The sequence below is a fragment of the Homo sapiens genome, chromosome 5 (genome assembly GCF_000001405.40).
Source record: "Homo sapiens chromosome 5, GRCh38.p14 Primary Assembly".
Taxonomy (NCBI): Eukaryota; Metazoa; Chordata; class Mammalia; order Primates; family Hominidae; genus Homo; species Homo sapiens.
The window spans coordinates 59156679-59181273 of NC_000005.10; the positions used below are offsets into that span (position 1 = coordinate 59156679).

At 38.7% G+C, this 24595-nt stretch overlaps 1 protein-coding gene across 29 annotated transcripts in view, besides 2 other annotated features; it reads right to left on the minus strand.

The window, feature by feature from the left end:
• Nucleotides 1–24595, minus strand: part of PDE4D (phosphodiesterase 4D) — a 1553091-nt gene that overhangs the window by 187641 nt on the left and 1340855 nt on the right. For 26 of the 29 annotated variants that reach the window (XM_024446112.2, XM_024446110.2, NM_001364599.1 and 23 more), the window contains one exon: nt 23917–23966. In XM_024446112.2, coding sequence (XP_024301880.1) covers nt 23917–23966 — 50 coding nt within the window. Of the gene's footprint in view, nt 1–41; nt 685–23916; nt 23967–24595 lie in introns of those variants that run through there. The other 3 variants (XM_047417300.1, NM_001364600.2, NM_001364602.2) reach the window with 1 other exon arrangement.
• Nucleotides 1955–2456: an enhancer, noted in NCBI's record as "NANOG hESC enhancer chr5:58454460-58454961 (GRCh37/hg19 assembly coordinates)". NCBI's record gives its function as "activates a minimal SCP1, AML or CMV promoter by ChIP-STARR-seq in naive H9 embryonic stem cells {active_cell/tissue: H9 hESC(naive)}" and the evidence as "EXISTENCE:reporter gene assay evidence [ECO:0000049][PMID:30033119]".
• Nucleotides 23940–23989: a silencer, noted in NCBI's record as "silent region_16037". NCBI's record gives its function as "represses an Ori minimal core promoter by ATAC-STARR-seq in GM12878 lymphoblastoid cells {active_cell/tissue: GM12878}" and the evidence as "EXISTENCE:reporter gene assay evidence [ECO:0000049][PMID:35858748]".

A 24595-nucleotide genomic window follows, 5' to 3' on the forward strand; every position in this document is an offset into this window, starting at 1 on the left:
GAAATCAACTTCTGTCTTGATTGAAGCACAATTTTAAAAAATTGAAATAAAAATATTTTATATATTTATGGTATACAACATGTTTTGGTATATACAGCGAAATTTTCAGGACTCATTTACTAACCATATTCTAGCTAAAAGAGAATATATACACAGCAACTAGAGAACGAATAGAGATTTCTTGGAACAGAATGCTATCTTTCTACCATGTAATGCCTAAGCAGGGCACATACTTTATAGTAAGCAAAAAGCTTTGATCTTTGCAGGAGATTATAGACTGCTTTTGATTTGGGTAGAGAAGAAACAAAAGTCAAATCTTGGATTTCTTCATTAATTAAAAAAAAAAAAAGGCAAAATAAAGCCACATGTATGTTGTTTTTTCCCGTAAGGTCAAGCAAAGACTTCTTTATACTTTTTGTGAGAAAATGTATTGAAAATTAATGACATTAATACCCAGGATGGTACATTTCCATTGCTTCACAATTTTTTTTTCTTTCTGAAGGGTTAGAATTTCCACCAGTCAGCATAAAATGGTTAAAACTGAAGCCTAGTAAATCACTTGTATTGCATTGTTTTCAAAGTGACTAAACAGCTGTAGTTTTCAAGGTCAGCCAAATCATCTGCCAGGGTCACACGTGTTTCACATGTCAAGTAACGTATATGGGTTCAATTCCATCCAGGATCCTAAGGAAAAAGACATTTGCAAACAAGTGATCCGAAGACATTTTTCTAAACAGGTGCTGTGGTTACTGGGATAAGAGTTACTATTGTAAACCACTTGAATTTACGACTAAGTTTCCAATCATTTAAAAAGAATATTCATTTCAAATTATAATGTCCAAACCAAGAGGACCAGCTCCTGATCATAATGACATTCAATGAGGACAGAAAGTAATATTGTATAATTGTTATTATTACCATAATGACATTGTTCATGTACAAATGAGAAGAATGTATATTGGGTATCAAAATAAAACCAACCAAACACATAATTAGGATGGAACCTAGTTAAACAGTTGAAGAGAGGAGACTTAAAGCAACAAGACTTGGCTAATACTTCTCCCTCCAATTCTTGCTCCAGGAAACATTGCATAGAAACAAAAGACATGACTACCATATGCCAATAACTGCTTTAACAAGCTGGAGTAATTGGTATCATGGAGCCAGACTGATGGAACAAAGAAAGGATGACCTCAGGATTTAAAGAGTTTAGGGACAGAAAAACATTTTAAAAATCCAGTTTAATTCAGAGGATAGTTAGAGATGTCTGGCTCCAACTGAGAGAAGGAAAGGGTATTGATTTGCGTGAGTGGCTCTCCATTGGGCTCTTCTAACTCAAAAGAGATAATTGGCCTTGAATAGTAGCTTTTATATTGAATTTATATTGAGTTCTCTTGATGTTCTTGGTATGTGCTCTTCAAAGCCCAAGACCACTCCCTGATCTTGTTTATATTTGCTAGTCCTAATGATCTTTCATGTGTCAGACGTGCTGAATGAAGACGATTGCCTTCTGATCATTTAACTCTTCTCTGCCAGTTTCAAGGTTGGCTTCCATATTTTAGCAAGCAAAATAATAGGCATCTCCAAGTCACAGTATGCAGACAGGAATAGACAAATACCCACTTTAGCTAAGTATGGGCTGCAGTCAAGCTGGAAAAGGTCTCTCAGCTCTGAGTCACTTATACAATCGAGTCCCTGAACATGTTTCTGTCCCTAATATTTTGTTGCTCTGGGCAACCATCAAGTCCACATGAAGACTTCTGCCAACTGGAGAGGATGACTAGATAGGAGTGCCAGAATTTTCTTTTAACTCTTTGTTGAAAACTCAAAATAGCAAATGGTGTCAAGGATATCCCCTAAACATCCAGATTGGAAAAAGTGGAATTCACACATTGCCTTGGTATCTTTTATTCACTTCTTAGGGAAATATGACTAAAGAAGATAAAGGCAATTCATCAGAGGCATGCATTTTTTTATAATAATAAAATATTAGGAAAAAGTTAGATGATTAGGTACTATTTAATCCAATATCATCATTTTACAGAACACAACCCAGGTTAAATTACTGACCAAAAATTACACAGAGAGCTAGGCAGAGCTGGGATTATACCCCTGGTCTTAAAACCCTGAGGTCATTGCTCTTTCCTGGACTTTCAGAAGCCCAGTGCCAGAGGCAAAGTGAAGAAATGTTAAGAAATCACAAGTGATCACCTCTCTTTTGTAATAGCAAACGGTTCTAGTTGAAAAGGGCTGCTTTGCTGGGATACTGGAAGCAATCCTAAAGCTCTGGAGTAGTTATCACCCATTAACACTCCCAATACAGAAAGTGTGACTATGGCACATTAAACTAAAGCATCTAAAGAGTGTTCAAGGCCCAACAAAAATACCATGTTTGCTGGAAGCCTTCATTGCTTATTATTCTAATTTGGTCTTTGCCTCCTCTGAATTCTTACGATACTCTGTGGTACAGTCCTGAGACTACTTAAGATTTTTTGCCCAGGCTGGAGTGCTGTGATCATAGCTCATTGCAGCCTAGACCTCTTGGGCTCAAGCAACCCTCCTATCTCAACTCCCCCAGTAGCTAGGACTACAGGCATGTGCCACCATGCCTGGCTAATTTTTGTATTTTTTTTTTGTAGAGAAAAGGTTTCATCATGTTGCCCAGGCTGGTCTGAAATTCCTAGGCTCAAGTGATCCTCCTGCCTCAGCCTCCCAAAGTGCTGCGATTAGAGGTGTGAGCCACCACACCTAGACAGTTTCTTTTGCACATGTACAATTATATTGTGTCAAGTCCTTGGGGGTAGGACTATATCTTATTCATTTTTGTTTTCTTGAAACCCAGAGCACAGAATTAAACATATTTTGGTTGATTTTATTTTCTCTAGAGGTACAGTGACGACTTACTTATCCAGATTAATTATCCAGGAATTTATACTATTCAAAATCAGTAAGTAGGTGAAAAGAACCCAGAAAAGTCAAGTAAACACTTGTAGGATCTTGTTCACTTTATGCATCTCATATCCTAAAGGTCTACCTCAGAAATGAATTGCCCTCAACCTTCACTTTTATTTTGAATTAATTTACCTTTATTTTATGCTCAATGCAATAGCTTGGTAATCAGGTTTGCCAAGGAAAAAGCAGCAGCAGCTCACAAAAGATGCCAATAAAGCCAAGCTTAGTAACATCATGAACTGACCACCAGACAATATGGGACAGCAGATGAGAAATTAAAGTGCAGCCAGATTTGCTGCTCGTTACTGTAGGGGAAAAAAAAGTCCTCATAGATCATTAGCTCCTAAGTGCATTTGTGAATGACAGGGAAGTACAAAAGCAGATGTTCATGAGGAACCAGAGCCAGCAAAAATGATTTAATTACATTCAGTGTACACCTTTAAGAGGTTAAGAATAAGCATAACACCTTTCAGAGATTTTCATGAATATTCAATATACAGGACATTTTCTCTTAAATGAAATGTAGGAAATCTAAGGATGGAGATAAACTAGCCTTAAATTCAGCCTTAGAATCCAGGTCTTAACCTATGTTTATCCTACATATAATACGAAGGATTATAAATTTTCACACATTATCAGAAGCATTTTACACCTACTCAGTAAAATCATATGATTAGCAGTTATGAAATCCTATACATTTATCCTCCTTATATTTTTTGTAACTATCTCTTCCTTTTTATTCTGGCTATCTAGCTATCTAGTGTACAACCTTTATTACATCTTATGCTTGAATATCGCTGTTGTCTTTGAGTTGGTTTCAAAACCTCGGATTTTTTTTTCCTTCATTAGCTGCATTAAAAAAAAGAAATTTCCAGGTGATTATTATTATCTTCTGTAGAAACAGGATCTCACTGCGCTGCCCAGGCTAGTCTGGAACTCTTGGCCTCAAGTGATCCTCTGGCCTTGACCTGCTAAAGTGCTGGGATTACAGGTGTGAGGCACCACGCCTGCCCCCCAAGGTGATTTTAAGGAACAGACAAATTTGTGAACCACTATCCCTAAGTGCTTAGCACACCATTCATTTCACTCTTAATTATATCCTTCAATGGAACTAACTCCCTTAGTGGCAGGCGTAATATGCCTGTGATTTCTGAGCTTAGATGCTCTTTAAAAATAGTTGTTTTTGGCCGGGTGTGGTGGCTCACGCCTGTAATCCCAGCACTTTGGGAGGCCGAGATGGGTGGATCATGAGGTCAGGAGTTCAAGACCAGCCTGACCAACATGGTGAAACCCTGTCTCTACTAAAAATGCAAAAATTAGCCAGGCATGGTGACGTGTGCCTGTAATCCCAGCTACTCAGGAGGCTGAGGCAGGAGAATCACTTGAATCCAGGAGGTGGAGGTTGCAGTGAGCCGAATTGCGCCATTGCACTCCAGCCTGGGCAACAGAGAGAGACTCCGTCCCACCTCCCACCCCCGCCAACAAAAAAGTTTTTTCATATTCATTGTGTTAGCCCAAAATATCTGAGACAGGTCTCAATCAGTTTAGAAAGTGTATTTTGCCAAAGTTAAGGATGCACGTGTGACACTGCCTCAGGTGGTCCTGAAGACATGTGCCCAAGGTGGTCAGGCTACAGCTTGTTTTTGTACATTTTAGGAAGAAATAATACATCAATCAATACATGTAAGATTTACACTGGTTCTATCTGGAAAGCTGGAAAGCGGGAAAACTCAAAGTTGGGGGAGGGCTTCGAGGTCACAGGTAGATTTCAACATATTCTGATTAGCAATTGGTTGAAAGAGTTATTATCAGTAGAAAGGAATGTCTGGGTTAAGATAAAAGTTGTGGAGACCAAAGGTTTATTAGGCAGATGAAGCCTCCAGGTAGCAGGCTTCCAAGAAAAGAGATCCTAAATGTTTCTTATCAGACTTAAGGTCTGTGGTGATGTTAATACTGGAGGGGTAAAATAAGGCATGTCTGACTTCCTTTGCGGCCTAAATCAGTCTTTCAGGTTAAATTTTAAAGTGCCCTGGCCAAGGAGGAAGTCCATTCAGGTGAGGGTGCAGGCGTGCTTCAAATTTTATTTTTAGTTTACAACTGTTAGCGAAAAGTACGTCCTCTCAATTTCCGTTTTCCCCCTGTATTTACTTAAGAACTATTTTCCAGTTCCTTCTATATCTTGCTTTGCATCTCCAGCAAAGAGATACTAAAGTTTTCTCTTGGTCTTCTTTTCAGAGGTGCGGTTTGATGATTACGCACAAAGAGACAAAGATAATGAGTGGGGGTAGACCTGCTAGCTTAACTTTTTCTTTTAGAGAAGCACCTAAGGGGATCTGTCACATGGATGAATCTACCCTTCTTTGAAGGTCTGATTTGAAAGCAGATTGGACTACATTCTGCACAAAGGCATTTTAAACATGCAGGTGTGAATGCCCCAAATAACAATACTTTGAACTTTTACAGAACCTTTCATCCAGTGATACCAAAACAATTCAGTTTATTAAAGGCCTAGGAAGCTGGGGACAAAACATCCAATTGATCTATATATGGAAATTTATTGCATTAACTTGGTTGGTGATTCCTTTCAAGTCTCCCAACGCTGGGGCATATAAGCAGAGAAAACTGTACGGTTTCTGCAAGCTACCTCTCCAAATTGTAATATTTTCCATTTCCAACTCCTCAAGAAGAGCTAATCCTCTTCTTTTCACATTTATGCTTAATTAGAGAGTTACCAGTTCACAGACAGTTATTTATGTTCAGAACCTAATAAATTCTTGTTTCTGCCTTAATTTGACCAAGGATTGCCTTCTATGTCATGTTCTAAAGAAGCCCATTGAACAAATAAATAAAAACAGACTTCACCTGTAGTGAGGGAGAACTATTATCTAATCAATTTTTCATTTTAAAAATTAAATACTTCAAAATTGGCTGGGTGTGATGGCCCACACCTGTAATCCCAGCACTTTGGGAGGCCAAGGCAGGAGAATCACTTGAGCCCAGGAGTGCAAGACTAGCCTGGGCAACATCGTGAGATCCTGTCTCTAAAAAAAAAAAAAAAAATTAAAAATTAGCCAGGTATGGTGGTGCAGTGCTATGTGCCTGTAGTCCCAGGTAGACAGGAGGATGAGGTGGGAGGATTGCTTGAGCCCAGGAGGTCGAGGCTGCAGTGAGCTGTGATTGTGCCACCGCAATCTAGCCTGAGCAAAAAGTGAGACCCTGCATCAAAAAAAAAAAAAATTGTAATTAAATCTTATTTTTAATCTGAGAGCATAGATTTAAGTTGCCCTGAATATACACTCTCACTTATCTAATTGATTTTTTTTTTTTCTTCGAGGCAGAGTCTTGCTCTGTCACCCAGGTTGGAGTACAGTGGCATGATCTCACCTCTGCCTCCCGGGTTCAAGCCATTTTCGTGCCTCAGCTTCCCAAGTAGCTGGGATTACAGGCATGTGCCACCATGCCTCCATGCCTGGCTACTTTTTTTTTTTTTTTTCAGTAGAGACGGGGGTTTCACCATGTTGCCCAGGCTGATCTTGAACTCCTGGCCTCAATCGATCCGCCTGCCTCGGCCACCCAAAGTGCTGTGGGATTACAGGTGTGAGCCACCGTGCCTGGCCAATCGAATTGATTTTTAAATGAACAATCTTTTTTTTTTTTTTTTTGAGACAGTTTCACTTTTTGCCTAGGCTGAAGTGCAATGGCGCGATCTCAGCTCACCACAACCTCTGCCTCCCAGGTTCAAGCGATTCTCCTGCCTCAGTCTCCCGAGTAGCCGGGATTACAGGCATGTGCCACCACGCCTGGCTAATTTTGTATTTTTAATAGAGACGGGGTTTCTCCATGTTGGCCAGGCTGGTCTCGAACTCCTGACCTCAGGTGATCCGCCCCTCCTTGGCCTCCCAAAATGCTGGATAACAGGCGTGAGCCACCGCTCCTGGTCCTTAAATGAACAATCTATCGTACAAATCTGTTGGATACCTCTACTTTTTACCATATATCTTTCAAAAAACTTACAAATTTAATCTTTTCCTCTTTTCCACCTTCTGACTTCCTTATTATATACATTGCAGTGAACTCAGGACAGCTAAGATTCAGAGTGGCAACTGGGGTATATTCCTATTTTCCCATATTTTAAATCTGCTGTAAAGGAAATAGTTGTTATGAGCAAAATGTGTCTGAGGAATGTTTATCAGACTATCGTTTTTATTTGGCATTGTCCCAGCATATTAGTTTTTAATTTTTTTGCCCCATTTCAATGGTGACTTTGATGTTTTGTTTTGACCAGCTGCTGAGCTTTTTGTGGCTGTCCATTTACATCACTTTAAAAAATGGTACATAAATGAAATTTGAACAAAATGAACAGTACTTTAACATTGTTTCAAAATCAAATATCTTCCTAAGGAATCTGATTTGTGGCAGATGGAGAACAAAACCTTCCAGAGGGAGGGCTGTTAAATGAGTCTTAATTGCTTGCACATGAAAATATTGTGACTAAGATTGTGTGCACAATTAGGAATTTAAACATGTAGAAAAGAACTGGCCATAGAAACAGGCAGACATTTTTGCAGTCAGAGCTAGTTTCTTGTGAACACAGACAATAAAGACAAGTCAGTAAAGGAAAATAATTTCAAGAGAAATTCAGTTGTTTTCTTTACTTCATTGTTGCTTACATTGAGCTTCCAATTCTAAAGATGATTCATTTGCCTTGGAAACTCACTGATGGAAGTATCACAGTACAGTCAAGAAAAAAATGTTTATTCAAGAACTAGTATTTCTTTTTTAGTTCCTACTATGCGTCAGATGCTAGGTTTCGTGCTTAATTCACTTCATTTAATTCTTACTTAATGCTCTGAGATAGGTTTGCTATTATTCCCGTCTTCTAATGAGAAATCAAGGCTCAGAGAATAACTTTCCCAAAGTCAAATAGCTAACAAATAGTGCAGCCAGGATTCTCTGTATTGATTTAATGAATCCACCCTCTGACAATGCCTCACTGCTCCCCTGGGAAAAAGCACATATCTTTTTTTTAAAAAAATGATTTAATAAACTTATTCTAAGAGCGCCTATACTTTGTTCTGAGTCAATAATGCCTTCCTTCTGTTGGATGGCATGATGTAGGTTGCTAGGCTGGACTTGTTAAACGTTGGGTAAGGAAGGCATGATTGCACCCAGGCGAAGTGAATGGCTACGCAGAGGGCACAGATAATCTGAATAGGGGTTGGGCTGAGATGACAGATTTAGAGACAGAGGCCAGGACTTCCTACAGGGGCCACACGTCACGGCGTCTTGTATAGAACCAAGCATAAAAGAGGCATCAATAAATGTGTGTGGATCAAATGATGAGATGGTCAAATTATTTTTGTGCCTTCAGAGGAACTGAGTTCTCAGGGATACATTAATGACAGGTACCATCTGGATCTCTAAAAAAAATGAGTATCATAAAAAGAAATTCAGTGAGAAATAAATTAATAAAATAAATAGTGCATTGAAACCAATCCTACTAGCATTTATTTCCCCTATCTAAGAGCACCCTAATTTCTTTCAGGAATATACTTTGTATCCCTATTAGATAATCTTAATAATAGTTAACCAGCAATGATCAAGTGCTTACTGTGAGCCATGCATTTTGCTTCATTTTTCATAAATATCTTTTTTTTTCCTAAGACAGAGTCTTCCTCTGTTATCCAGGCTGGAGTGCAGTGGCACGATCTCAGCTTACTGCAACCTCTGCCTCCCAGGTTCAAGTGATTCTCCTACCTCAGCCTCCCAAGGAGCTGGGATTACAGGTGTGCAACACCATGTCTGGCTAATTTTTTTGTGTTTTTAGTAGAGACAGGGTTTCACCATGTTGGCCAGGCTGGTCTCAAACTCCTGACCTCAGGTGATCTGCCCGCCTCAGCCTCCCAAAATGCTGGAATTACAGGCGTGAGCAACCATGCCCAGCCTTTCATAAATATCTCCTCAAATAATTTTCATGAACTCCCTATGAGATAAATATTATTATTGTGCTTACTTCAAAAGTGAGGAATTTCAGGCTCTGGAAGGTTAAATGAATTGTTTGAGCACAAGCATCTGTAAGTCGTAGTGCTAGAATATGAACCCACAAAATCTGGTCCCATCATTCAGCTCTTACTACCACATTTTATAACATAGTTTGGTAGAACTGAAGCCACCTGCCTGTTCTCTTTTAGCCAAGGCCCAGGACGCAAACAAGACAAATTAGATCCCTTCACTGCTGTTTGACTCTTGAAATAATGACAAAGAAACTAAGAACAGTTGTGGGGATCTCACTCGACTACTCCTGCCATGAGACTTTCCCCTTGATTTGTAGCCTTCTAGCACTGTAAAGATGCACTGATTCCTTCAAACCTCGTCCTCCAGCACCCCCACCACCACCTGTCGCCCCACTAATTCTCAGGGAATTCAGAATTCTTCCTATATTCTTCCACTAAGAATTTTGCATTAATGAGCAGAGTTGGTTTTTTTGTATTGCAAGCAAAGGATCATTGCTGAGACACCATTTTCTAAGGGGAGGTGATAAGCCAGCCAAGGGGAGAATTGTATGGAATCCCCAAAGAACAAGATGCAGACAACACTGTTTAGTGTGCCACAATAATTTAATAGACTCACTGAGAAATAATAGCATGACAAAAGGCCAGGTTAATTTCCTCTGCTGCCCTTTCTGTGGAAATGATGAAGGTTCTTGGGCTCCTCTCTGATCCACTGGTCTTAGATACATTGGCCTTCTCCTTTATTTCCAGTACCCTCAACAGTTTCCAGTAAAGAGAAACAGCAAGGGAGGGTCTGTAGAAAGACAGACTGTCTTGAGGTTGGCTGAGGGGTAAAAGAAATTTCCCAGAAATTGCTCCTTTTCCTTCACAAACTGCCTAGAATTCAGATTTTGTCTCCTTCAAAGTTGCATCTGGGAAAATGTGTTTATATGCTTATTCCACACATTGCCATCATTGTAATGATTTTAGGGCTCCCTGTCTTGGAATTGCCTTAAAAGTCCATGTGATACTTCTTAAAAAACTCTTTAAAATCCCTTGAGAATGGTTTCATTTCTGGAGTTAGCCCCATCTAAGCTAATTTGACATTCTGTCTGGTGAATAGGGTTGGTAATCATATTGGAAATAATATTTTTGGTCATAAGTGAAGTGTTACTATAAACCAGTGAGATTGCTTATTGCTTTTTGGTATGTGTGTGTCTTATATGGTCTGTAAATGGTCTCTAAAGCCACTTCCAAAATGCTTTCAGCAATGGCATCAGGGCTCAAATAATTGCACAGTTTCCAGAGATGGCTGTTTTGAGGATCAACAGTAATTGAATAATATAATAATATTTATTGGTAGTTTATAATACTTTTCAACATATTAAGCACTTTCCACATGCTTTTAAATAAGACCTGACATTTACTATGTCCCAGACACCGTGCTAATTTTTTTACACAGATTATCTCATGTAATTCCTCAAAATTAGGAAGGTATAATTATTACCCACCACATTTTAACAGAAAAGATCTAACACATCGGCGTGACTTTTCTAAGGTCACACGTAAAGTGGGTGAGCAGGACAGCCAGCCACGAAACCCCAATTTTCTGACCCCTGAGTCTTGTTCCTCCTCCTTCACATAGATTTTGACTTGTATGTCAAAACACAAAAACAAAACCTACCAATGTTTGAGATTTTTTTCTATGGGAGGATAAAACCTAGGTCTGTCTCTGTAGAAGCAATATTAGTCAAATAACAGTCAGTCCACTGTCAGTGACTTCAGAGGTATCTTACTTGTCATTCAACTCTGAGGTCTCGGTTTCACGACCAGTTCTTTTCTATTTTCCTTTTGGCTATTTTGAAACATGTCTTCTTTTACCAATCTCAGCCCTCCACTTTCTCATGCTGTGAAGTATTCCCTAAATTTCTGAATTATTTTCCCAAACCATTTTCAGTCTCTAAGCTAACACTGTAGGCAGCTTCTTAGCTCTTTAGAAAAACAATCTCACCTGCATCTGCTCCATTCTTCCTCTCTCCCTTCCTTTCTCTCTTCTTTATTTTACTTATTCATTTATCCATTCACTTATAAGCCCTCTGTTTTCTATTAACTTAATGCTTTTTGTCATTCAACAGAACACATTTTAGCTTTTTAAGTTCCACAAACCTCTAGAGTAATGGTCCTGAAGCTTACTGGAGGTATTTTATTCATCCTTGGGTCCTTGGAGCCTAAGCATAGCCTTTCACATACTAGGGACTAAATGAGTAAAAGCAAAGCCAGGAAGAGGCAGAAATCAAGTTCTCTATGTGGACAGTTCTGTGTTCAATATGCAAACATCAGAAACATATCCAGAAAAGAATGTCATAAACACCCATCTGTTTTGTGTGGCATATAGAATACAGTCAATTAGAAATACTTCCACAGGACCAACAGTGCTGAAAAGGAACCACAAAAAAACAAAACAAAACAAAACAAAAATACAGAAGGAAGACGGCACACTAGAAAGCACTGGATATTTAAGCATCAGAAATATCTCAAGGAAGTGCATTCAGGACATGGTGAGCTAGGAAACTTTTGCCTAGCAATGGTAGCTAAGAGATGATAATGGCATGAAGAGACTTCACCCAAAGAGAAGATTAATATTCCCAGTAGTTGGGGCCTGCCCTTTCAGGCCTTCGTGGTAAGTGGTCCCAGAAGCAAGGTGAGTGCTAACGCTGAAGCACTGCGTTACCCTGGTTCCTCCGAAACACCCCATCTGCCTGACTTCTCACACACACCTGGGCCTTTCCTTGTCAATGCTCTGCCCCTGGGCACTCTGGTGACAACGGGCACTTCAGAAGAGTCAGGAAGAGAAGTGTGGGAATTGAAGAATCCTATACCCCCTGGCAGGAATCCTTTCCTTAGCTTATATAACTATAGAGAGTTTTTAGGGTTTCCCAAAGAGTTTCTGTGCATCCACAGATCTTATCCCTCCTCTTGTCCTACCCTCCACTCATATACATTCAGGAATAGATGGTATAGATTTGTTTTCTGTTCTCAAAAGAAAAAAGAAAAAGAAAGAGAGAGAGAGAGGGAGGGAAGGAGAGAGAAAAAAAAGAAGAGAGATGTCCCTAGGGAATAACTTTTGAGGACCAGCACATCCAGCAGCTTGTGTATGTGTGTACATGCCAGTACATTTTAGGAGAGGACTTGACATTCTCCCTCTGAGTCAATCCGTACTTTGTAATTTTCTACCTATGTATCTTAATCAAATTATTCAACTTGTCTAGCCCAGTTTTGCATCTATGAAGCAGGAATAGCAACGGTGTCTACCTCTTTGGATATCATAAGGTTTAAAAAGATTACTCATCTAGAGTGTTTGGTACATTTCAAATGTCAGTAAATGTTAACTTTTATTAATATTAGTATTAATAATATATCCAACTGATTTTTAAAGCATTTTTTGAGAGAGGCTTTTTGATATAACAAAAGAAACGACGCTGTGAGTGCACTCCCTATTTATTTAGAGTTAAATAATTCAGTGTAACATCCAACTAGTAAAATTTGGGAAATGAGCCTCAAAGGAATTTTCAACATTTTGCCCCACCACAGTCACTGTATTTCTGAGTATGCCTAGAATATTTTTTAAGGCTGAAATGGGTGGGAAGCACTTTGTGGAGAAAGGGAGTGACTGAAGAATGCAGTTTGTGTGGTTCTTTTATTTTTTTTTTTTCTTTTATTAGTTTAAGGAGACTTGGTACTGTGTCCAAGAAGACAAAAAGAATGCAATTACTAAACATTTCCCAAATTCCCTCCCTCCCACATCCACAAAGGTAGATGTGATACTTGATTTTCTTCTCAGAGACGAGCAAGCTGCTCTACTTAAAATCTTGTATGTATTTTGAGAGATAACAGATGATGACCCTGACGCTGATGCCCAGGATGACGAAGTCAGCACAGATAATAATATCACCTTGTATCTTCTTTCACTAATCGTGGAGCACTTTGCACATATGATCGTGCTTATCCTGGGCTGCACTGTTTGTTAGATGAGGGTGTGGGTGTCACTATATATACTTTCCAGAAAGACAGGTATTTTCCAACAAGCTATCATCAACTCAATGACAACACTGTACACAGGCAGCCCTCTCACCTGCTTTCTTCAGTATTCCATTATTCTCCCAAATTTGGCCAATCAAGCCCATTCACCTGGGAGTATTTGTTAATAATTTAGATCCTGAGCCTTATCCTAGACATTCAGTTCTGGAAAGTCTGGGAATCAGTCATTTTGTGGTTGTTCTCAGGAAGCCCTTGGGGATTCCTTTGATCAGAGACAGGTTTGGGAAGTATTGCTCTTTTTAAACTCAGGGCAGCGGGGAAGGGATGCTGGCAGGAGTGGACTTTGGTGACACTGAGATCTTTTATTCATGTGGTAGCTTTTCTTACTCTGAGACAGAGTTTTGCTCTGTAGCCCAGGCTAGAGTGCAGTGGCATGATCATGGTTCACTGCAGCATCAACTTCCTGGGCATAAATGATCCTCCTGAATAGCTGGGATTACAGGTGTGCACCACCATGTCTAGCTAATTTTTAAAATTTTTTGTAGAGATGGAGGTCTCACTGTGTTTCAGGCTTGCCTCAAACTCCTGGCCTCAAGCCATCTTCCTCCCTTGCCTCCCAAAGTGCTGGAATTACAGGTGTGAGCCACTGCACCCAGCCCTAAGGGTAGTTTTTCTGATCATCTGAAGGATAATACAACATTTTTGTCATAGGCTCAATAATCCATAAAATGCTGCCCTATGTGAGAGATATTATTATTTTAAAATACAGTTAATGCTGGACTGTGGAACCATAATATTGAAATATTGTTAGGGCGGGTCTCACCAGTGCCCTTTCTAGGCAAGGAGAGGCAAACTAACAACTGGGACCTGAGAAATAACATGTTTGTCACTAGATTCAATGTAAAATGGTAAACCTATCTACCTTTGCTAACTACTGGTCAACAACTAAAAGTAACTTAAGTTCAATTCAATATACATAATTAAAGTGCATTAAATGTGTGCCTATTGCCCACATGGCACTTTATTATGTATTCCTTAAAATACAAACATTTTTCCATATTATTAAAATTTTCTCAAAAATAAATTATTTAAAATCATTTTATTATGGGAATTTTTTAACCCCTACCTAAATAGAATTCACACATTATTTAGAATTTGGATTGTTTTTAACCCTTTATGCACATTCACAGTGCTGTAATGAACATGTGTATATATACTTTCACTTTTTTTTTTTTTTTTTGAGATGAAGTTTCTCTCTTGTTGCCCAGGCTAGAGTGCAATGGTGCCATCTCGGCTCACTGTAACCTCTGCCTCCTGGGTTCAAGCAATTCTCCTGCCTCAGCCTCCAGAGTAGCTGGGATTACAAGCACGTGCCACCACGCCTGGCTAATTTTTGTATTTTTAGTAGAGATGGGGTTTCACCATGTTGGCCAGGCTGGTCTTGAACTCCTGACCTCAGGTGATCCACCCGCCTCAGCCTCCCAAACTGCTGGGATTACAGGCGTGAGCCACCACACCTGGCTCATACTTTCACTTTAAAATTGTTCATCCTCAGTCTCTGCTCTAATCAACCCCCAAGTCCCTTCAATCCTATCTCTGAAGAGTTGTGAACCCATTCCCTCATCTCCACAGCCCCACTTCCACCCCAGTTCAGAGCTGCATTATCTTGATCCTGTACAAGGCCTGTGACAGCCCCCTGAAGAGTATGGGGCTGCCCCTAGTCTTTCTTCTTTTCAATCTCTTTCTACACTGCTTCCAATTACTGTCATTCTGAAATGTGTATTTGTTCCTACGATTGGAAATGCTCAATGATTTTCCACTGTCCATAAAATAAAGTCCACTGTTATTTATGTAGGCCTCAAATATTATTTCCTTAATCTACCTCTGGAGCATCCTGTTCAGTTGCTCCTATACACCTTTAACTCAATTTGTCCTTTACTGTTCCCAGTCCCCTGATATGGACAGGCATTCCATGCTTCCATACCTTATTCTTGCTGGTCTTTTGTTGTGAGGTAATCCTCAATCCTCCCCTAACCACATGGAAAGCATTATGTTCTTCAAATTTATCAGGGAGCATTTCCTAGGTAGAGCCACTGGCTCTCTCTCTCTCTATATATGAATACATATTCATATATATTATATATTAAATATATAATATAATTATTTAATATATATTTTATATATTTATTTTATAATAAACATATATATTTATATGAGAAATATATTTATTATATAATAAGCATATATATGAGAAATACATTATATAATAAATATTATATTTATTTATATGAGAATTATATTTATATATTATATATTTATATAATAAATATATATTATATATATAATAAATATATATTATATATATAATAAATATATATTATATATATAATATATATATATTATATATATAATAAATATATATTATATATATAATAAATATATATTATATATATAATAAATATATATTATATATATAATAAATATATAATATTATATATATTTATATAATATATGTATATAATATATAATACATATATAATAAATATGTATATAATATATAATAAATATATAATAAATATGTATATAATATATAATAAATATATATTTATACAATTTATAAGAAATATATATTTATATAAGAAATATATATAATTTTATAAAATATATAATATATAATATATTATATATTATATATTTTGTATATATTATATATAATATATATTTATATAAATATATATATTTAAAGAGGTTTCAGTCCAGGCTCTGTGGCTCATGCCTATAATCCCAGCACTTTGGGAGGCCAAGGTGGGCAGATTGCTTGAGCCTAGGAGTTCCAGATCAGCCTGGGCAACACGGCAAAACGCCGCCTCTACAAAAAATACAAAAAATAAAATAAAAAATTATGCACACGTGGTGGTGCATGCCTGTAGTCCCAGCTACTCAGGAGGCTGAGGTGGGAGGATTGCTGGAGACTGGGAGGCGGAGGTTGCAATGAGACAAGATCGTACCACTTCACTCCAGCCTGGGCAACAGAGTGAGGCCCTATTTCTAAAAATTAATTAATTAATTAAAATAAAAAATATAAAGGCTTCAATCATGGCATTTAGCTAGTACTTAACTATTTATAATTCCTTCTCCCTTACTTTGTAAATTTCTTGAACCAGTAGTCACATTTTACCTCCAGAGCGTATGCATGCCATATATAAGGTGCATGGAAAATACTGTTGACCAAGCAGATAATAATAATAATAATATTATAGCAATAATGATAAGTAACATTTGTTGAATACATTCTGAGTACCAAGTACTATGTTAAGCACTGAATTAGAATTTACTGATAAAGAATACCCCCAAAACTTGGAGAATTTAAGTACATTGACCAAAATTAGACAACTACTAAGAGGAAAGCTGGGTTTTTAACATATATGCTAGCTCATCACCTTTTTGCTAGGCTAAATGAACATGAGCCCCATTTAATTATTTCAATTAAAGTTATAACAAAGCATCCAAATCAGATATTCAGACAAGAGAGACACAATTAAATTATTTCCCCTCATAATTAGGACATAGCCCTTGTTTTCACTATTCTTAAAACAAGTCTAACTTCAATCAATTCCTGGTCAAAAAGCCACGGTGTCAGATCTGATCTTTTTATATATTAATAGGTATGGCTCTACTCATTAAATAAAAGCATAAAAGGCCAAAACAAATTCATTTGTAAGAAAGAGAACTGACTTTTACTGCTCTAAAAGATCATAAGTTTAACTAATAAATAGTAATACTCCATGCATTTATGCAAATCTTTCAGTTCAATGTTTTTACCGGAAGATTCTTTTTCAATGAGGATTTTTGTAAAAGTAAACTCCTTCAGCTTAAAAGATTTAGGAAATCCGACAGTCATTAGATGTATTAGATGCTTTATCAGTTTTTTATTAAAGCTATTAAACACAATGTATCATCAGCATTTTTCGATCACATTTCTTAAAAAGCTTAATGAACACATATTTCTGGCAATTATTAAAGTGTGGCCACAATCTTTATTCTATTAAAGGAAAAAAAGAACTACAGCATGAAGCTGCTGCCTGCTGGTGGTTGATGAGGAAGTAGGGCTTCTCTGGCAATGGCTGGGTCTCTTGTCTTCCCTATACACTGACACAACACATGTTTTACTTCAGTATCTCCTGAGGACTTACATATTTCTCTCATGTAGATCCCTTTTGCCTTCTTTATATGGTTCTTGCTCCCATCTATTAGATCTCTCTATATTTCTTTTTAAAAAACTATATATACTACTTGCTTTTATCACACACACACAGATTTAAAAGGCAGATCTAAGTAAGTAGCCAGCATCCTTATTGTCACCATGAAATAGTTGCTTAGTTTCTTTCATTCGATAAGCTCAAAGCATTAAGTGATTAGCCCAGATAACAAAAAAATAATTGTCCCAATTAAATATCATTATTGTTTTTCCCCCTTATTAATTCTTAGAAACTGCTTGTGCTTTAGAACAACAAACATATAAGATTAAATTTCTTCTCATTGTGTTTTGACAGACTAGCATTATTTGGATAGTTTACTTTTTAATTTTCTACGTGCCAATTGACTAAATTCTATTTAGAATGCACTTACTGTTTTTAATGAAGCCATGAATCTTCAGGGTAAAAAAATACAAAAAGGAATGAAGACTTAGACCAATTTACTTATTTATTTATTTTCTGGACTAAAACCACTTCTGTGCTGTTCTATGCTTGTCACTGCATCATGTGTCTCCCCCTACAGGTAAAGAGCAGGCAGCTGTACTAGTTTCACCGCTCCTGTAGAAGAATTTGTATTTTCCAAAGTCAAAATCCAGAAGTCTTTTGCTTTAGGGTGCTGGTCTCTATGCCTCTGGGGTATAAGCAGTAGATATAATCAAAATAGCTATAACTACAGAGATATGTCCAGTGAGAGGTTGGGATGAGAAATTTTCAAGCTCATATACAAATAATACAATGCCACATCTATTACTCAGGAGTTAGTATTAATACTTCATTTACTTTCTCTAAAGCATATACTTCCACGGTGGGTATAAAGGCCACCCGAATCTAATGGTTTATTTTACTTTATAAAGGTGTAAGAAGGACCATGGACTCGAAAAAGGAACCACATGTTTATTCCTGGCATTGTCACTAAGCAGCACCCTCTCTCACTAGGTCTCAGTTTTTTCATCTTTAAAATAAAGATATTTAAATACGTTTTCTTTAGAGTTGTGTCCTTGCATGAAAATCCTCTAATTGAGGATGATTAAATAAACATATTGGAAATATGGAAATTCAGAAGCATTGAAAATGGTATTGTGAAGATGTAACATTTAATGAGATGGCTGCAGAATGCTTGCCTTGAGCTAAGGTTGTTCGAAAATGAAATGCTTACAAGGAAGGACTGTGCTCCAAGCTACATGGCTGTACTTCAAAAATGGGATCACTGTCCCAGTGCAGGTATGGCTTGGGCATCTCTGACTCTTTGCCACCCTCTCATGTTCCAATGCACTCTTTACTTCTGGTGTGCACCACACATTAAGGACGTATGTAGGTGAGCCTTACTCTAAATGATAAAAGGATTACTAAAAATGTCATGCCATGACTGTGTGAAAACAAAATCATAAATGAAATGTACCAAAGAAGCTGACATACCAATATTCTCTGTTACCTCTATTCTACCAGTTTTTAAATTAGCTTTAGGAACAAAAAAATGTCAGGCATTGGGACAGGGTTATAGGAAGAAACACTTGGTGAGTTCCTCATCACATTCGGAACTCTATCCATTTTTCTTTCTTTTTTTTTTTTTTTTTTTTTTTTTTTTGAGACGGTGTCTCACTCTGTCACCCAGGCCGAAGAGCAGTGGCCTGATCTCGGCTCACTGCAACCTCCGCCCTCAGAGTTCAAGCGATTTCCTGTCTCAGCCTCCCGAGTAGCTGGGATTACAGGCACCTGCCACCACGCCTGGCTAATTTTTGTATTTTAATAGAGACGGGGTTTCACCATCTTGGCCAGGCTGGTCTTGAACTCCTGACCTGGTGATCCACCCGCCTTGGCCTCCCAAAGTGCTGGGATTACAGGCATGAGCCACCATGCCCGGCCTCCATTTTTTTTTTTTTTTTTTTTTTTTTACTTTAGGAGACAGGGTCTCATTACATTGCCCAGGCTGGTCTTGAATTCCTGAGCTCAAGCAGTCCTCCCACCTTGGTCTCCTGAGTAGCCGGGATTATAGGGGTGTGCCACCATGCCCAACTTGAACTCTATCCTTTTATATAACTTATCTCCTTGAATTCTTGCAACAGTCCTAAGTGTTAGGTACTCAAATCTCCAAAATGAGGAAATGAAGCAAAAAGGAGAGACTGGGTTCACATTCAGGCTCCAAATGCCACACATCATCTTTGTCATATCACACTAAAGAGCAAAAGAGCTATTTAAGTCTCTTTTATAAATGCAAACTTCAAAGCCTTACTTTTAAGGAATTGTTAGATCATTTTAGACCTGTATGTTTACCTACTATATATTGAAATAAAAACTGGCCAGTGACCTACCTTTAAAACCTAGCTTTAAAACCCTAATGCTATAAAATCAAACTCTCGGCCAGGTGTGGTGGCTCATGCCTGTAATCCCAGCATTTTGGGAGGCCAAGGTGGGTGGATCACCTGAGGTCAGGAGTTCAAGACCATCCTGGCTAACACAGTGAAACCCTGTCTCTACTAAAAACACAAAAAGTTAGCCGGGCGTGGTGGTGGGCATCTGTAATCCCAGCTACTTGGGAGGCTGAGGCAGGAGAATTGCTTGAACCCAGGAGGCGGAGGTTGCAGTGAGCCTCAGATCGCGCCACTGCACTCCAGCCTGGGCGATAAGAGCAAAACTCTATCTCAAGAAAAAAAAAAAAAAATCAAATTCTCCTGGCTTTAATACATGTCAAATGCAATAACCTTGAAAAGAGGAAGAGGGTATTGTAAATTCTATGTGACAACTCCTTAGAAAGCATGGTATGTGATATGTAGACTGCTGAAGTTCTTAACTCTTCTTTTTTAAAAATTAGAGTTGGTTTACAGAAAAGTGATAGAGAATTAATATTTCTCCTTCAAACAACTATGACTCAAAAGTGAGTTCTTAGACTTAGAAATTCATCCTGAACAACAGTGTATCATCTCTATCACAAAGCTACCAGCGTCTGTGAATTGTGATGAGAATAAAGGAGACAGTGCTGGGAGCAGGAGGAGACCCCATTTTGATGGGCACAAAGCAAGCGCATCCATTTTGGCCAATTTAAGGACCCACAAGTTTTCCTCTCATGATCTTGCAAGCTTGCCTTTCTCTCACTGTTCCCTTTCCTTCGTTTGTGTCTTTGTCCTATTCTTTCCATTACCCCCTTGTTACGGAATGAGTGCTTGTGTGCCCCTAAAATTCATTTCAATATCCTAACCCAATATGTGTTGGTATTTGGAGGCCGGGCCTGTGGGAGGTGATTAGGTCGTGAGGGTGGAGCACTCAACACTCACAAATGAGACTAGTGCCTTTACAAAGGGCACTGATGCAACCTAGAAGAAGACTCTCACCAGACCCCAACCATGCTGGCATCCTGATCTCAGACTTCCAGCCTCCAGAATTGTGAGAAATAAATTTGTGTTGTCTATAAGCCACCCAGTCTATGGTACTTTGTTATGGCAGCCTGAATTGATGAAGAAACCCCTAGTTCTATGTATACAGTGGGCCCTAGAAACAAAACCAAGTAATAACAACAAAATGGAATTTAAAAAGATGTATTAAGTGCTGGTTCTGTGAGGCACTATGCTAAGGGCATCATGCGTGTTCACTCATTCAAGCCAGCAACAACTGCAGGAAGCAGTGTCACTATTTTATAGGTAGGGAAACTGAGCAGAGAAAGGGTATGCAACCTGCCCAGGGCCACAAAGCTCTCATGATAGAGCATGATTTGAGTGCTGGGTAGGCAGAGCAACCACGTGGTATAATTCTAGGGGCACCATGTTGTGATGTTCTGTGGAGTTGCCCTCCGGAGGCACTTGGAGCTGTGTGCTCTAGCAGCCTTTTGGATCAGCCATGAACTTAACTGTTAGGCTACACTGTTACTCTAGACCTTATTCCTATGTTGAGGGATAGACAGGCATACATTTGCGAACCTGTACCTGGGGCCTCTAGTGAGAGAAGCCACATGGAAGCTGGTCCTCATGCTGCTCCAGGCACTAGGTCTGACCCCTATCAACAGGGACCCATTCATCTTAAGGGTGCCTCACTGACTCTTTTTAATACTTCTTTGCCCTTCCCAGGACTACTGCCACAGTACAGCCAGGTTCCAACTTCAGGGGGAGTGAGCCTAGAGGGTGGGGCCTGAGTGGTCAGCTGCAGAGGGAGGAAAGGCACAAGCACTGCCTTTTCTGAGTGTCTCAAATCTTACTAATGTCAAAATCTCAACCATCATTATTATTACTAGCACTGAGGTTTTAAGGGCCCACTTTTTCAAAATGGGCTCAGAAAGGGGAACCTTCCCCTGCTACTGCCCTCATCCCTCCATCCCTATGCCATGTTCCCACCTTGGTTTGCTATGCTTGGGCAAGAAAAACGACTTCCCAGTTTTAGTCAGTTCATTTCCTGTTGTGCTTTGTGAGGAGCCCAGCAGCACTAAGTGGTAACAACAGTTAATTAGTTTCCCTTTCTAGATAAGGTATTTCTGTGTCCCCCTTGTCCCTAGGCCTCAGGTCAGGAGCTTGTGGGTACGAATGAGGCCATATTCACCTTAATTTCTTAATTTCTGTGGCTCATAATTCCCTCTGGTATTGCTCCAGGACCCCCTTACTATGTATACATTTCTAGGAGCTTCTATGAGGTCTGTCACATATGCTTAAGATCAAGTGTGTGCCCTTTGAGTGTAGCTACTCTCTCCTGTTAATCTGTGCCTGGCATCTGCTGGGATGGCTGGGCAGCTGCCCTGACCACTGAGCACCCAACCATCTGTTGTCAGCCACAACAATTTCCACTGGTACCTGATGCTGCTCTTCTGGGAGAATGCTGCTCCACCTGTGAGGCCAGCTCATATGTGACCTCAAGCTAAAAAAGCTTCCAGGGACCAAAATAGCACTGCATTCTGCCCAAATAGCAATGTCAGTTCTTGCTTATTGCAAAATTGGGGGTTGAGGGTAGTTCCTCTTGATAGGGGTCAGATTTAGTGCCTGGAGCAGCGTGAAGACCAGCTTCCATGTGGCTTCTCTCACTAGAGGCCTCAGGTACAGGTTCATAAATGTAGGCCTGTCCATTCCTCAACTTAGGAAAGTGCATAGAAACAGAGGGATCCGGTTCCACACCTCCAACTCAGTTTAGACTCATTTATGTTGAATTTGAATTTTGGCAGAAGAAATCAGTTACTCAAAGTATTTATTTTAGCATATAGGAATTGTTATTGTTCATCTCTCTTTCTCTTTATTTTTTGGAGACAGTCTTACTCTGTTGCCCAGGCTGGAGTGCAGTGGCGCGATCTCGGCTCACTGCAACCTCTGCCTCCTGGGTTCAAGCGATTCTCCTGCCTCAGATTCCCGAGTAGCTTGGATTACAGGTGCTCGCCACCATGCTAAGTTTTGTATTTTTAGTAGAGATGGGGTTTCGCCATGTTGGCCAGGCTGGTCTTGAACTCCTGGCCTCAAGTGATCCACCCACCTTGGCCTCCCAAAGTGCTGAGATTACAAGCGTGAGCCACCACTCCTGGCCCTATTGTTCATCTCTTGATCAATATCAAGAACAAAACTGGTTAACCATATATGTACTATAAAATGATAATTGGAAGTCATCACCAATAATATGTTGAAAGAGAAACATGAAGAAGAGATCAATAATTTAACATTCATTGAAATACAAGTTTCACTTGATGACATTCAGAAAAGATGACATTAACAATGATTCCAGAATCAACTCTAATGTGGTGACCACAAACACAGACAGACGTCTGGACATGATAAAGTTAAATTTCAAGCAAAGTGTACTCACTAATAACTTAATAAGAGCTCCTCAGCACATTATGGGTTGGAGCTCAAGGAAGACACTTGAATCCAATGACGAATTGTTTTAGTTTGGAGAATATGCTAATTTTCTTCTGGTAATAATTTTAGAAAACATAGGTTTTCTTTTCCAGGCAATTATTTTAATGAATCAATTGGGGTTTCAAGAAATAGTCAAAAGAGTTCAATTTGGTTTCAGGTTCAGCAAAATGAGATCATGCATTCTGTTTTTGGTTCAGCTGGGGTCAAGTCCTGTGCCTAAAACAGACTAATAGGAATTGAGATAATTTTATTTTTATGCACTTGGCTCCTCTCATCTTTCCTCCTATTTTTCTTTCCCAAACATCTATAGATCCCAACGTTTTGATCTCATTGAACTTTTTCTGCATTGTATATTAACTTCTCTCCCCTCCCAAACTGAGTTTATTCTCAGCTCTCTCAGTCCTTTATTGGACTACTGGTACAATGTTGCTTCCTACACACAAGTGGGATATTGATGAACCAACACGTTACTCCTTTTATTTATGCCTTCACTCTTATTAAACTAAATGATGACATATTATATCATGCTAATAACACATGTGTGGAACCAGAATGGGAAGTGACTTGAAAGTAACATCATCTCTCAAAATACAAATGCCCAGAGCAATGCTCAAATGAGTATAAGCACATAGTTAAATGGTTAAAAATAATGTACATCAGTAAAAAACGTAAATCGGTAAAAATGTTCCAAATAACAGCTTAGACAATTTGTGAGATCAATGATAGAAATGATAATGTAGAGAAGAAAGAATTTCTTTAACATTTTCAAATTGCAGCATGAAATTGGTGTTGGTGTTATATTGACTCTTGGCAGAAATGGTTTCTTCCTAGACACATGAAGAATAAGCTCCAGATCTTTCTTACCTGTTATGGTGGCTTTGTTGATGGATGGTTGGTTGCACATGGGTGATCTTCTGACAAAGACAGAAAAACACAAAGCAGTAAATATGTGGGGCTTATTGATTTGATCACTCTCTGAGTCATTTCAGATATAGCATTTTACTTTAAAGAATTATTTTTAAGTTTGGACACGCAAATGATTTCTTTCAGACTAGCCAGACAAGTCCCTAGGCGTTCTTTGTATTATGGCTCAGATCACACATGTCCAAAAAGAAAACTGGTAAATCTCACAGTGATTGATTTGGGGTAAATAAAGCTGATGTAAGTGTCACTGGGACATGAGAGAAGAGGAAATTCTTACAGACTTTATTCGCTGAAGCCAGAGCTTATAGACTCTGAATTTGAAAAAGCAGTCAATTTATAATTGTCTTCCCTAATACAGGGTTAAGAAATTTTTATTGTTGGCCTAAATTCTCGTGATTGCCTGTACATTATCAGAAGTGAATGATTTGTTGTAAACTATCTTATAATTAGAGAAGCTATTTGAACTTTTTCCTTTCTTTTCTTATATTGAAAAACACCTCTGATATATTTGTTAGAGAGGTATATTAATGACTTGTCCAAATAGATACTATAGAAGCTTTAGAAATACTCTAAGCCAAAGGTACTTAAATAAATTATATCTTGTGTTCTCTAAGTTTTC